This window comes from Homo sapiens, chromosome 10, assembly GCF_000001405.40.
Source record: "Homo sapiens chromosome 10, GRCh38.p14 Primary Assembly".
Classification (NCBI taxonomy): domain Eukaryota; kingdom Metazoa; phylum Chordata; class Mammalia; order Primates; family Hominidae; genus Homo; species Homo sapiens.
In genome coordinates this window covers 126697087-126711943 of record NC_000010.11, presented here as the reverse complement: position 1 = coordinate 126711943, position 14857 = coordinate 126697087, and positions in this window count along the sequence as shown.

Below are 14857 nucleotides of genomic sequence, written 5' to 3'. Positions count from 1 at the left end.
CCTGCAACTTTTATCCACTAGTTTTAGCACTCATTGATGATTTTCTAACCCCCCTAAGGCCTTTATATTTATTAGTTGGCACTTGGCAGAAGGGAAAAGCTTTTCTTTTTTTCCTTGCTTACTGTATGTATTCATCTACTTGTTTACGGACTCATGTATTCTTATTTTATTTGATGAGTTACTAACCATTACTAATATTATAAATTTTGGTGCTCAAATTGTCACAGACTTAGTCACTGAAAGCTCTGTGTGGCTCCTATGTCCTCTTGATATGTCCCCATCATTCTTTGAGCAATTTCTTGCTTTCTGGTACAATATGATGCCACAGTCTTATTTGTATTTTACTTGTCCCATCCCTGAGATCAGCCTAGGATTCTTTGTTCTTTTTAGTGAAGAATGGTATTTAGAAGCCAAAATCTAAACAGCAGATATGCTCGTTGCTACTGGTGTGTCACTGATTCTAGATCTTCTCAGTGGACAGAGCTAAGAAATGCATGCATGCATATACATAAACATACAAATACATATACTTCGAGCACATATGTATGCCAATATGTTTATTTTTATAGATATTCTGTGTGTGTATATATGTGTATTTGTGCATAGACACACATGCGTGCACACACACACACATACATGAATACATGCGTATATGCATCAGTGCATAATGACCACTCCAATTCCAATCTAGCACCATGGGGTACACCCTGATTTTGCCCCTTTCCCTGTCTGTGACCTTTTTTCCGATTGTTAGATGCCTGGCTCTGTGTAACCTACAGCATCTTGTTCATCTCCTAGCTCTTTGCTAAATTTCGCAGGCTTATTCTGTGTATGCTGAGTCCAGCTGTTGCTAAAGAACCAGAGGCGAGCTCCCACTTCCTCTCTCCTTGCATGTTCCCCACAACTTCCAATTGTCTTGGCAACCCCAAACTTCTTAGCCCTGCAGGGTTTGGACTTCACTTCCCATATTGAACTCTGGAAATTGCTCCTAGAAAATGTGCAGCTTACCTGGTATGTTTCTTGTCTCTCATGGGTTACTCTCCTGCATTGCCTCTTGTCTACTGTCTCAAAACAGTTGCCACATACATTTTGCTCAGTGTCGTGGCTAGCTGTTATCTTAGTCTGTAACAAAACTGCTATAACAAAATACTGTAAATGGCATGGCTTAAACAATATAATTTTATTTCTTGCAGCTCTGGAAGCTAGAAAGTCTAAGATCAAGATATTAGCAAGATAGGTTTTATTTTTCAGCCTCTTTTCTTGACTTGTAGGTGGTGACCTCTTGTTTGTGTATGTGTGTGGAGGGAAGCAAGCCCTGTGGTATCTGTTCTTCTAAGGGCACTTATCCTATCCATCAGGGCCCCACCCTCAGAAACTCATCTAATGCTAATCACCTCCCAAAGGTCTCATCTCCAAATACCATCACATTAGCGATTAAGGCTATGAGTTTTGAGGTTGGGACACAAACGTTTAGTCCATAACACCTATTTATAGCAAGGAGGTACATCTGACACCAGTTACTCTGTCATGGCCAGACAAGGTAGTCTCTGCTTAGTTTTTATTTTACTCCAAAACACCGTATTTAAATTGTAGTGTTGGCCGGGCACGGTGGCTCACACCTGTAATCCCAGCACTTTGGGAGGCCAAGGCAGGCGGATCACGAGGTCAGGAGATCGAGACCATCCTGGCTAACACGGTGAAACCCCGTCTCTACTAAAAATACAAAAAAAAAATAGCCGGGCGTGGTGGTGGGCGCCTGTAGTCCCAGCTACTCGGGAGGCTGAGGCGGGAGAATAGCGTGAACCCGGGAGGCGGAGCTTGCAGTGAGCCGAGATCACACCACTGTGCTCCAGCCTGGGCAACAGAGCGAGACTCCGTCTCAAAAAAAAAAAAACTTGTAGTGTCGTGTGCTTTGAGTTCAGTCACATCCACAGCCTGCTAAAAGTGCTGGTGGGAAAGATAGAACACAGCATGATTTCAGACTTCAAGGCAAGAGAAAAACCAATTTTGTATTCTAGAAAATAGAATAAACTCATTTCTTTTAGCATCTTATTGAGCCTTCAGGCATTGATATTTACACGTTTTATCAATTTGGGATATCACTTGGAGAAGAACTTCATTAGCAATCCCAAATCATCTGTGGCCTTCTCACATGATTTGTTTCTGTGTATCTTGGACACTGATATTTCTGTATTTGTATGTGTGTTTGCTGTAGTTAATTTTTTCTGATTTATAAAAATACTACATATCACTTTTTGCAAAATTTGCAAAATTATATGACAGAATAAAGAAGAAACTTGTATCATTGGTAATATCATTTAAAGATAACTACTGATGTCCCTTTGAATTTCCCAATGTGTTTAAAACAAGCATGGCTTGCTTTCAAAAAAGTCGATTATTTTAACATCTCAATATACACATGTATTGTTGAAGATGAGAGTGGAAAGGACCTTGAAAGAGATCTCAGTCAACAATTTTGTAGCTGGGTAAACTGAGGTTCAGCAAGTGCACCTGGTCAGGAATGCCTAGATCTTTGCATTATATCTGTATTTCACACATTGTGCCACTTCTGTAACACCTCTTCAATATTATCAGAGTCATAGATCACTAGTCCTTTTTCCTAATAAACGAGCATCTTACCACTAAACTTCAAACATTTGCCCTAGTGCTGCCCCCAGTGCTATTGCTATCAGTCACCTCACCTTATGCGTGATGTTACTTTGTAACAATAACAAGTACCATTGCCCAATATACAGAGCAAGGCAATACACCAAGACACTGGGTTGCAGCAGAGAAACAGGTTTATCTGTGAACCCCGAATATCTGAGACTGGTCTCCGTTAATTTGGAAAGTTTATTTTGCCAAGGTTGAGGACGCATACCTGTGACACAGCCTTAGAAGGGCCTGATGACATGTGCCCAAGGAGGTCAGAGCATAGTTTTGTTTTACACATTTTAGGGAGACGTGAGACATCAGTCATCATACGCAAGATGAACATTGGTTCTGTCTGGAAAGGCAGGATGACTGGAAGCAGGATGACTGGAAGTGGAGAGGGGGCTTCCAGGTCATAGGTAGGTAAGAGACAAATGTCTGCATTCTTTCGAGTTTCTGATTAGCCTCTCCAAAGGAGGCCATCAGATATACATTTATTTCAGTGAGAGAGGGGTGACTTTGAATAGAATGGGAGGCAGGTTTGCCCTAAGCAGTTCTCAGCTTGACTCTTCCCTTTAGCTGAGTGATTTTGGGGCCCCAAATGTATTTTTTTTCACAAATCATAGGACCACCAAACAAGGAGACAGGAGGAAACCTCAAATCCATCTTCCTGAGGAGGCATGTAAACCAGACAACTCCATCTTAAATAGGAGCTAGGTAAAATGAACTGAGGCCTACTGGGCTGCATTCCCAGATGGTTAAGGCATTCTAAGTCACTGGATGAGATAAGTGTTTGCACAAGATACAGGTCATAAAGACGTCGCTGATAAAACAGGTTGCAGCAAAGAAGCTGGCTAAAACCCACCAAAACCGAGATGGCAATGAGAGTGACCTCTGGTCATCCTCTGCTACCCTCCCCACCAGCGCCATGACGGTTTACAAATGCCATGGCAACATCAGGAAGTGACCCCATATCATCTAAAAAAGGAGACATGAATTATCCACCCCTGGTTTAACATATCATTAAGAAATAATCATAAAAATGGACAACCAGCAGCCCTCGGGGCTGCTCCATGGAGTAGCTATTCTTTTATTCCTTTACTTTCCTAATAAACTTGCTTTCACTTTACTCTGTGGACTCGCCCTGAATTCTTTATTGTGTGAGATCCAAGAACTCTCTCTTGGGGTCTGGATCGGGACCCCTTTCCTGTAATACCTGGATCTCTCCCCGAGAGCAGTGGGTCTCAAAGTGAGGTTTCCAGACCAGCAGCACAAGAGGCACCAGAGAACTTTTAGAAATGCAACTTATGGCCGGGCACGGTGGCTCACGCCTATGATCCTAGCACTTTAGGTGGGTGGATCACCGGAGGTCAGGAGTTTGAGACTAGCCTGGCCAACACGGTGAAACCCTGTCTCTACTAAAAATACAAAAATTAGCTGGGCATGGTGGTACGTGCCTATAGTCCCAACTACTCAGGAGGCTGAGGCAGAAGAATTGCTTGAATCCAGGAGGTGAAGTTGCAGTGAGCCAAGATTGCATCGCTGCACTCCAGCCTGGGTGACAGAGCGAGACTCCGTCTCAAAAAAAAAAAAAAAAGGAAAAAAAAAGAGAGAGAGAGAAATGCAACTTATTAGGCTCCACCCTCACCTACAGAGTGGAGACCCTGGGGTGGGCCAGCCGGCTGAGCTGTGACAAGCCAGCCAGGGATTCTGATGCAAGCTATTGAGAACCCGGTCTTTATCTTAATATAATTATTCAGGGGTGTGGCCTGAGCTTTGGCAGGTGCTTCTAAAGCTTTTCAGGTGATTCTAATGTGTAGCCCAGCCTGAGAATTATTGCTCTTGAGCCACTTGCTGCTTACAGGTCTTGCATCTCCAGCAAACTGGCCTCCTGCAGGCTGCTCTTCATCTGAATAATGGCTTTTTCTATTGTTTATGGCAGATTTCTCTTCATCTTTCTAATCTGTATTATAAAAGAGTAGAAATGTAATTTCCCCGGTTAGCTTATATTTTACATGAAAAATGGCTACTTTGAATCAGACAAAAGGGAAGATATCTTTCAAAGGGTAACGGCCCCTGTTTAGTCAAGTTGCAGCTTTCTTTTTTTCATTGTAAGGGGAGTGAATAATTCATATTCATTTCTCCTAAATTGGTTTTCTTCGGGGTATCTCCCCCCACGTGTATGGAAACAGTCTGGTGGGTGAAATAGAAGCAGTCAGCCGGGTCTCGAGACCCTCCAGATCACTTTTTTCACAGTATGATTGAGAATCGGGACATTCGCACAGCTTTACGGGATATCTGGAAATCAAAGAAGAAATTCTAGGAAGGCAGAGGCTTCCAGCAATGTCCTCACTATGTGTGAAGTGCAGCACCATTTTGCATCTGAAACATTTCATGACCTACTGGTTGGTGTAAGGCAGGCTTCGTCAGTGTCAGCACTATTGATGTGTAGGGCCGGATATTATTTGTGGTGGGGGCCATACAGTGCATTGTAAGGTATTAGCTGCATCCTGGCCTGTAGCCACCAGAGGCCCATTGTGCCTCCAAGTTGTGACAACCATATATCCCTCCAGACATTGTCAAATGGGGGGTGGGGAAAAGGGGTGGCAAAATTGTGTCCAGTTGTAAACCACTGGCCTCAGGTGACAGAGGTTGTGGTCGCACCAACTTGCTCTCACTGCCCCTGGATCAGTGGGTGTCTGGACTGGCTGTGGGCCTCCGTGCTCCTCCTCAGAGCGGTCCCTGTGTCAGCTGCTCCCACCCCACATAGAGAGGCAGCTGGCAGGTCCTCCTCTCTATGACCCCTTGCAGGTCCTGGGTGTGGAGTCAGGTGTCTTCAAGAACAGAGGCAGTGGGTCTGAGGGTAGGGTGGGGTGGAGCATGCCTCTGGAAAGATCCTGCCATAACCAAATACCACCCCAGCAGGTACAGTGGCCTGGCTGGCAAGCTTCTTTGCTTCTCTGGCCTCCTGCCTGCTGGCCCTGCTGGCTCTGCCCTCACAGCGGTCCCCAGGTTCTGGTTTCTAAACCCAATCTTGCTCCTACTCTGCATCACTGCCTGTTTGACCTTGTATCTGGTCACAGCAGCTCCCCACTTCTGGCATCAGGGCTGGCAGCTCCTGGGCACTCTGCCCTGCTAAACCACTGGAACCAGGTGACCTCTGACTGTGAAGGACAGCCAGGCCATCTCAACACACTGAGTGGACTTGGATTCTCAGGCTCCAGACACTGCCTCTTGAGACAGCACTCTGGCTTTGCTAGTTGGAAAGTGCACTGGCAGCCTGGGGTTTGTTCTTGATCCACGGATTTGTTCCTGTTTGTGTAGTACTAAAGTCATTGAAACTAGCTGAGTGTAACACAGTGATTTTTTAATGTCTCCTTATCACATTTTTACATGTGTTTATTGCTTAGTTCCTGAGGGATGTATTTTTTCCCCTTTCATATAAATACTTGTGTTGCCTCTTTTTGAAGGGAGTTTCCTTTTATTAGACTCAGCGGTTTAATGGAATCAACTCTTCAGTGCTCAAAACTATTTCAAAAAGCGTAAGCCTCTTTTGTTCCCATCCTTGCCCTCCAGATGATTCTGATTCTATTAGACCAAGAGCCGCCAGCCTCCACCTGTAAGTTCAGTACAGAGAACATGCTTTCAATAGATCGCACAGGTTATTTCATGGATGTCTATTAGAGGAGGATCACAGTCTCTTTTGGATATTTTACATCTAGAAGAAAAAGCATTTCCCAGTAGGAATTCATACCCATTATATGGTCCGGGGCTTCCCCACATCCTTCCTCCTTACAGAAGTGAGGTGGCATCCGGTACTGCTGAGGCTCTGCTTTGAAAACCCCTGGTGGGTTCACTCTGGAGGATAAACAAGAGCCCCCACTGTTCACATCCAAAATCTTTGGGGGAACCATAGCTCTATAGGATTAGATATCTGTGAAGGTGGAATTCTGTCAAGGGTTTCCCAAAAGGTGACCACACTGACCTGTTGGAGAAGCTGGCTGGCACCTCCTCCCTTACCCTCTGGAGAGAGCAGCTCTCGTGTCCTGCAGGAATAAAGTGAGCAAGGGGGAAGCGGGGTAGGTGGCCCCTCCGGATCTGGCTGTATGCTCTCTTCTCAGAAAGATTAGGACATTTGGATTAGAGCATTCCCAAGCTCTATTTGCTTTTGATAAGAAGATTTGGCTTATTTATTTATTTATTTATTTATTTATTTGAATGCAGGTGAGAACTTAAGGCAAAGGCAGGCAAATGAATAGTGTTGAGACCGTTTCCTGTGGCCCCAAGGGGGATAAAAACAAAGTCAGTACGAGGCTTTCCCTGCCTCCTTGTCTAGACTCGGGATGGCAACAGATTGAGTTCTTTCTGTGCCAGTTCTGGCTCACTGGCTGTGTCTGCCTGGGTAAGTGATTGAGGATTCTGAGGCTGCATCCAGAGCCAGCAGAACCTAAGTCTTGATTGGCTCAGAAGGGCTCCATGGGCCCTGAAAGAAAAGTGGTAGAGTGGGCGGGTGAGGCAAGCACAGAAATAACCCCAGGACACGATAAACTGAACGTGCTCAGAAGAAGACTGGCAGCATATCACATGCTTGGGCGAGAAATTTTTCCTTGGGTTTGGGGAATAAGGAGGGGCTTCATTTAGAACAAAACTTTATCTTTTACCTCCTATTTTTGTGTGAGTGGTTTGCGTTATGGTGTTAATGCATCTGTAATCTTTAGTAATTTTGAATTTCCCAAAGATACGATAACAGGCAGTTCTGTTTCTACCAGGCATCCATGTTTGAGAAGTCTAAAGGGAGAAGTTGCACAGTGAGGAAAGCACATGGCTTATTGAGCAGATCTGCGTCCAATGTGCCAGGTGGAAGAATGGCCAAGGGCTCCATTGGTTCACACCTGTGTGGTCTGCGTGGTGGTGTATTGGACCGATGACCCCATCGGCACACTTGCAGAGCCTAGTGCCTACCCCTGACCAATGACTGCCCTTGCTCAGATTTAGTTTGCTTCTCTGGGTTCTGGGTTCTGGACCTTTTAAATTCATCTGCTGCTGTATTGCTGGGCACATTTCAAAGCTTCCTGGATGAATAAAAGTGCATTAAATGCAGCATTGCATCTGGTCCAGGTGATCTGTTTTCTTAGTGATGTTCTCAAATCTGTGAAAGAATTCAAAATCACCTCCTAAATTCTTGGCAGTTATTAAACAGCAGTCTTTAAAATGAGCAGGAAGACATTGATACAGGATGAGAAAGTTCTTCTCTGAGTTATTCCTCCTTTTGTTCTTCCTCAGGCTGGAAGTACAGGATTGATTAACACAGCTCTGTGTGGGCTGAACCCTGAGCCACCTCCCCAGCTGTGAAGTGGGACTCATCCCAAGGGTCTTGCCAGTGACTGGCTGGGCTCATCACTCAGATGCCTAGATAGGACCAGCTTCCCAGTGGTCCCTGACTACCTGGCTGTTAGCTGTGATGATGGCTAAAAGCAGTTAATCAGATGGTCATAACATTATTGGCTTGTGAAATCCTTCCTTTCTCAGAGCTTCCAGGGTTTGTATCTTGTGTGTTTGGTTTGATTACACTTGGAATACCAACTGTATTTTAACCAGCTATTAAACACAAATTATTTCTAAATAATCCTCATAGCAAATGACTGTAAGATATATATAGCAAAGTTATAAGAATTGTTCTTTACAGTTTCCTAGCATGCATGTTACAGTGAGAGTCTCAGCTGATTCCTGTGGCTTGACGAAGACTCTCTCCTTGGCCAAACTTTGATTGGGCTCTCTGACCTCTCCTTCTGACCAGGCCTTGAGCTTAGCCCCTGTCCTGTCCTTTACCTGCCCAGCCCAGCCTTAGTAAGGCTCTCACTACCCTTGATATCTGATCAAGTTTCTCATCACCCAACTTTGAGGTCTAAGTCCTTGGCCTGCCTTTAACAAGAATCCTGCTAGGTGAGTTTAGCAAGAACCCCCTGATCCTTGATATTCTTCTGAGTAATTTTCCATCCACTGAACCCCATGCTTCCCCACCCTTTACCCTGCTTCTTGTCTGTCAAGCCCCTTTGTCCTTATATTTGAAGTTGAGCCCACTCTCTTCCCTATTGCATAGAGATGACTTCTGTTGCAGTGGTCTTGAATAAAGTCTTCCTTATCTTTTTGTCAAGTGTCAGAATAAGTTTCTATTTAACAGGCTACTCTCTAAGGTGAATAAGGCAAACATTAGTCCTATTTCACTGAAAAGAAACTGAGGCTTTCATTGTTCTGTTCCATACAACAGATGACATTGCTGAGACCTGATTTCTGGTTGGCGGAGTCACTTTTAGCTTTGCAGACTACACAATCTTCCCTTATTCCTTCAAGCCAGAAATCAGCATTTCCTTGCTTGAATTTACTGCAGGAAACTTGGCTAGAGATGTGCAGGGGAAAGGGGCCAATCACAACAAGGGTGGTGAGGGCAGAGCAGGGAAGGAGAAGTATACGTCTTTGACCTCTGGGCCCCCCAGTGACCAGGTTTCCCTGAGCTGCAGGTGAAGCCATGGCTCCTCAACCCATTTCTGCTTCTCGTCCTGGAAGTAATCCCTAGAATGGGATCCTTTACACCCAGACAGTGTCCACTTAGAATTAATAGAAAGGGTATCCCTAATTCCCTATGTGGCTTTGAGTATTTTGCTTGACTCTTTTATATTTTGGTTTTCTCTTGCATTCAATATAGGAGGCAGCCAGCTCTAAGACTAATTCCAATTATAAAATTAGTGAGTCCAATATTCAAGACCACTTATTTTGGAAAAGGGAGTAAAAGGTATAGGGAGGGCAGATAACCCAGTCACGAACAGAATTGAAATCAGGAGCCCAGCTCCCGGTGTCCTTGTTCTTTCCTCTCTACCCATCTGGATCAGCATCCTGTGGGCTAACCACAGATCTGACTCAGTACCACTGAGGAACAGCTGCATTTGGCCCTTCTAGAGCATGAGGTCAGGAATGAGGAGTCTAAACATCAGAAAGAAGGTTGGCTCCCATGCTTGTGCTCTGCATAGCATTATGCATGCATATCCCATAGGCTAAAATGCACTTACCAATGAACAAAGCTAAGATTAACAGGGTGCTAACCGGATTACAGGGGAGGATGGGAGGTGGAGCAAGGAAGAATGCACCTCTGGATTCCATGTTTAGCTGAATCTCTTCCTTGTGTTCTGTTTACAGACGCTTGGGGTACTGTCTTCAATTCAACAAGAGAATCAATCTTTGTTGCTGGCTTGCAACAGAGTCTAACAGGCTTCTTTTCTTATTGTCTGGACCTCTTGGGCACTCTCCTGGGTCTTCCATGGAAAACATGTAAATCTTACAGCTGCCATCATCACAATCATTGTCATATCACCTTATGACTGTGTGTGCCTTATGTGTGTAACCCAACAGAATGTGTGCCCCTTGAAAGAGGAACATTGACAAAGCTCTGTCTTTGGATCCCTGGTGATCAGCCCCCGGGGCAGTGCTTTGTGGAGAGTTGTTGAATGTGCTATTGAATTTCCTGAACAAAAGTCCTGATCCTGGGTGGGAAGAGCACAGTTGGAATGCCAGCTCTCCTGGTGATGAGTGTTGTGGCCACAGTGTAGAAAGAGGAGGGCTACATGAGTGCTATACCCCTACCAGCTGTGTGAGTGTGGTCTAGTAGCCTGACTTCTTTGAGACATAGCTTCTGTACCTGCCCCAGGACTCTCATGAGAATTGAATGAATGATTTTTTGCAATAGTTTTAATGGAACATCTCATGTGAACCGATGGGCTTTGATGGAGTGAGTTGCCCCAGTAGAGGTTTAGAGGGTGTGTTCTCCCAGGTCAGATGGACTTGAGTCCACGTCCTGGCTGTGCCTCTACCCAGGTGGGTGACCCTGAGCACATCACTCCCTTTTCTGTGCCTCACTTTATCCTTTTATAGCATAGGGGGGAGCCATAGCATCAACCTGTGGGGTCGTTGTGAAGATGAAATGTGCTGGTCCTCTACACTAAGCCCTCTCTCTACACTGTGCCTGGCCACTGGAACACCCAGTAGGTGTTAGTTAGAATGTTGTGCCTTCAAATTTATGTTCTGGGTACTTTTTTTGAAACTTCAGTCTGATTTTCCATGTCCCTGTCTTAGCAATGACAGAAGTAATTTTAAAACATTTTCCTAAAGTAGTTTTTGTTTTGTTTTGTTTTTTTAGCAACTTAAAATAGCAAACATTTATTATCTTATAGTTTCTTTGGGTCAAGAATCTGGGCACAGCTTAGTTGGTTTTTTTTTTTTTTTCTTTTGAGACGGAGTCTCACTCTGTCACCCAGGCTAGAGTCCAGTGGTGTGATCTCGGCTCACTGCAACCTCTGCCTCCCAGGTTCAAGCAATTCTCCTGTCTCTGCCTCCCGAGTAGCTGGAATTACAGGCACATGCCACCACATCGGGCTAATTTTTGTATTTTTAGTAGAGATGGGGTTTCACAATGTTGGCCAGGCTGGTCTCAAACTCCTGACCTCAGGTGATTCATCCACCTTGGTCTCCCAAAGTGCTGGGATTATAGGCATGAGCCACCATGCCTGGCCCTTAGTTGGGTTTTCTCTGGCTCAAATTATCTCTTAAAGTTTTAGTCAAGCTATCAGCAAAGGTTAGGGTTTTCATCCAAAGCCTTGGATGGGTGAGTGTCCTTTTCCACACTCATTCATGTGGCTGTTACTAGGGTCCAGTTTCTTGCTGGCTGTTGATCACAGGACTCCCTCAGTTCCTTGCCACATGGACCTCTCCAAAAGGTAGCTCACAATGTGGCATCTGGCTTCCCTCAAAGCAAGAAAGCAAGAAAAAATTCAAGATGGAAGTCTTTTTGTAACCTACTATTAGAAGTGACATCCCATTACTTATACTGTATTCCTTTTTCTTTTTATTTTCTTTTATTTTTGACTAGCTCTCTTATAACTTTATTTTATTTTTATTTTTTATTTTTTTGACTACCTCCCTTATAACTTTTTTATTTTTTTATTTTTTTCCATAGATTATTGAGGTACAGGTGGTAGGTTGTATTTGGTTACATGACTAAGTTCTTTTCTTTTTGTTGTTGTTGTTGTTGTTGAGACAGAGTTTCGCTCTTGTCACCCAGGCTGGAGAGCAATGGTGCAATCTCAGCTCACTGCAACCTCCCCAGGTTCAAGCGATTCTCCTGCCTCAGACTCCCAAGTAGCTGGGGTTACAGGTGTCTACCACCATACCCAGCTAATTTTTTGTATTTTTATAGAGATGGGGTTTCACCATGTTGGCCAGGCTGGTCTCGAGCTCCTGACCTCAGGTGATCCACCCGCCTTGGCCTCCCAAAGTGGTGGGATTACAGGCCTGAGCCACTGCGCCCAGCTAAGTTCTTTAGTGGTGATTTGTGAGATTTTGGTGCACCCATCACCCGAGCAGTATACCCTGCACCCTATTTGTAGTCTTTTTTCCCTCACCCCCTCCCACTCTTCCCCCCAAGTCCCCAAGTCCATTGTATCATTCTTATACCTTTGCATCCTCATAGCTTAGCTCCCACATATCAGTGAGAACATGTGGTGTTTGGTTTCCAATTCTTGAGTTACTTCACTAACATTAATAGTCTCCAGTCTCATCCAGGTTGCTGCAAATGCCGTTAATTCATTCCTTTTTATGGCTGAGTAGTATTCCGTTGTATATATATACAACAGTTCCTTTATCCACTCATTAATTGATGGACATTTGGGTTGGTTCTATGATTTTGCAATTGCGAACTGTGCTGCTATAAACATGCGTGTGCAAGTTCCTTTCTTGTATAATGACTTCTTTTCCTCAGGGTAGATACCCAGTGATGGGATTGCTGGATCAAATGGTAGTTCTACTTTTAATTCTCTAAGGAATCTCCACACTGTTTTCCATAGTGGCTGTACTAGTTTACATTCCACCAGCAGTGTAGAAGTGTTCCCTGATCACCGCATCCACACCAACATCTGCTGTTTTTTGATTTTTTTGATTATGGCCATCCTTGCAGGAGAAAGGTGGTATTGTATCGTGGTTTTGATTTGCATTTCCCTGATCACTAGTGATGTTGAGCATTTTTTCATATGTTTGTTGGCCATTTGTATATCTTCTTTTGAGAACTGTCTATTCCTAAAATCTTTTTTAATGAAGAGTAATGCATATTCATTACAGAAAAGAAATGAAGAGCAAGTTGTCTATAGTGCCACCCTACAAACAGACCATTGTTATTATTTTAGCATACTCCATTTAAACAGCTTTCTCTGTGTGTACAAGTTTATATTACATGTTTTCATTTAGACATTTCAGTTTTTAAAAAAATATTCTAATTAGCACCTTTGACAGTTTAAAAAATGTGTTTTTCATCATTTCACATTATTTCCTTCAGATCTTTCTTTATCAGGTTACTGGTGAATCCTTAGCTGTGGATGGTGGAGGCAGTTTTGTTCTGGGCCCTTTTGCATCCACGTTAATCTTCATGAGTTTTTCTACTCCTAATGTACTAATCAGCTTCAGTCCATGCTTCTTGATTTCAGAATACTTGCTTATTTTTTATATGCTAATTCCAGAGAGTTCTCAGTTAAGTGGTTCCAAATTCATTCTTGAATCTATAAAAGTTTTCTAACTCAGATCCATAGGCATTATAAATGTATTCCTATTTTTCTAGCTCTACATATTCCATTTTAATACTTTAGCTATTGTGCAACTGTTGGAAATTTAGGAAGTGTGGTTTCCTTTTTGATAACACTTTCTTCAAGATAATTTCCTGCAACTTTCCTGGGATGGGGAGAAATTGAATATACCGCTTTGGTTTTTGAAGAAAGAATATCTCTGTTGGACTGGAAGATGCCTGGAAGATTCTCCCTAATTACTCAAAAGTTTCTTTATCTCTGTTTTCCCCCTTTTCTTCAGTTTTCCATTTTCCATTTCATCCTACCTAAAGTATATGCGGTAACAAATTCTTTGTTCCTGGGATTTGCTGCATTTTGGTGCTCAGTGTTTTACAAGTACTGTGGAACATCTATAAGAGAAAATAGAGACATTTATTGAGCTCCTTCCTTGCATGATTCTCAGCACTTCCTCGAGGTGTTTAAAATGTAATCTTTACCCCAGACGTCTAAGGTAGACATTATCCTCCCATTTTATTAGTAATAAATTAAACCTCACTGGTGTATGCAGAGGAAGAGTCTGGATGGAGAACCCAGTTGGTTCTGATTCCTTGATGAGTTCTTGCATTTTTGTCAGATTGAATCTTTAAACTATCCTTGGATTCCTTGAGCCAATGGGTTCCTCTCTTTGTCCAGCCTGGTTTACGTGGGTTTCTGTCATTTGTAACCTGAGGAATCCTGACTAAGATGTACTTGTTTAATCTTCCATTAGGCTGTAAGCTTCTTGAGATTAGCTACTGGGTCCACACTTATTCTTTGATCCTCAGGAGAAGGAAGGGGAATATTTTTTATTTAGACAGGGTCTCACTCTGTCACCCTGACTGTTGTGCAGTGGTGCAATCATGGCTCACTGCAGCTTCAAACTCCTGGACTAAAGTGATCCTCTTTTTGTTAGTCCATTTTCATGCTGCAGATAAAGACATACCCAAGACTGAGCAATTTACAAAAGAAAGAGGTGTAATTGGACTTACAGTTCCACGTGGCTGCGGAAGCCTCACAATCATGGCAGAAAGTAAGGAGTAGCAAGTCACATGATACTTGGATGGCGGCAGCCAGAAAATGAGAGATAACTTGCAGGGGAACTCCTTTTTTTAAAACCATCAGATCTCGTGAGACTTATTCAGTATCATGAAAACAGCACGGGAGAGACTTGCCCTCATTATTCAATTTTCTCCCACCGGGTCCCTCCCACAACATGTGGGAATTCAAGATGAGATTTGGGTGGGGACACAGCCAAACCATATCACTCTTGCCTCGGCCTCCCGAGTAGCTGGGACCACAGATGTACACCACCACACCTGAAATTTAAAGATTTTTTTTTGTACAGATGGGGTCTTGCCATGTTGCTCAGGCTGGTCCTGAACTCCTGGGCTCAAACAATCCTCCTGCCTTGACCTCCCAAAGTGCTGGGATTATAGGTGTGACCCACCATGGCTGGCCTGAAGGGAAACATTTTTCTGAAACAAAAATGCGAATAGATTCATTGCAAATTAAACAGAATATTTGATGTGAGGATTACCTTGTAAATTTGGGCCATATGGTCCTTTCAT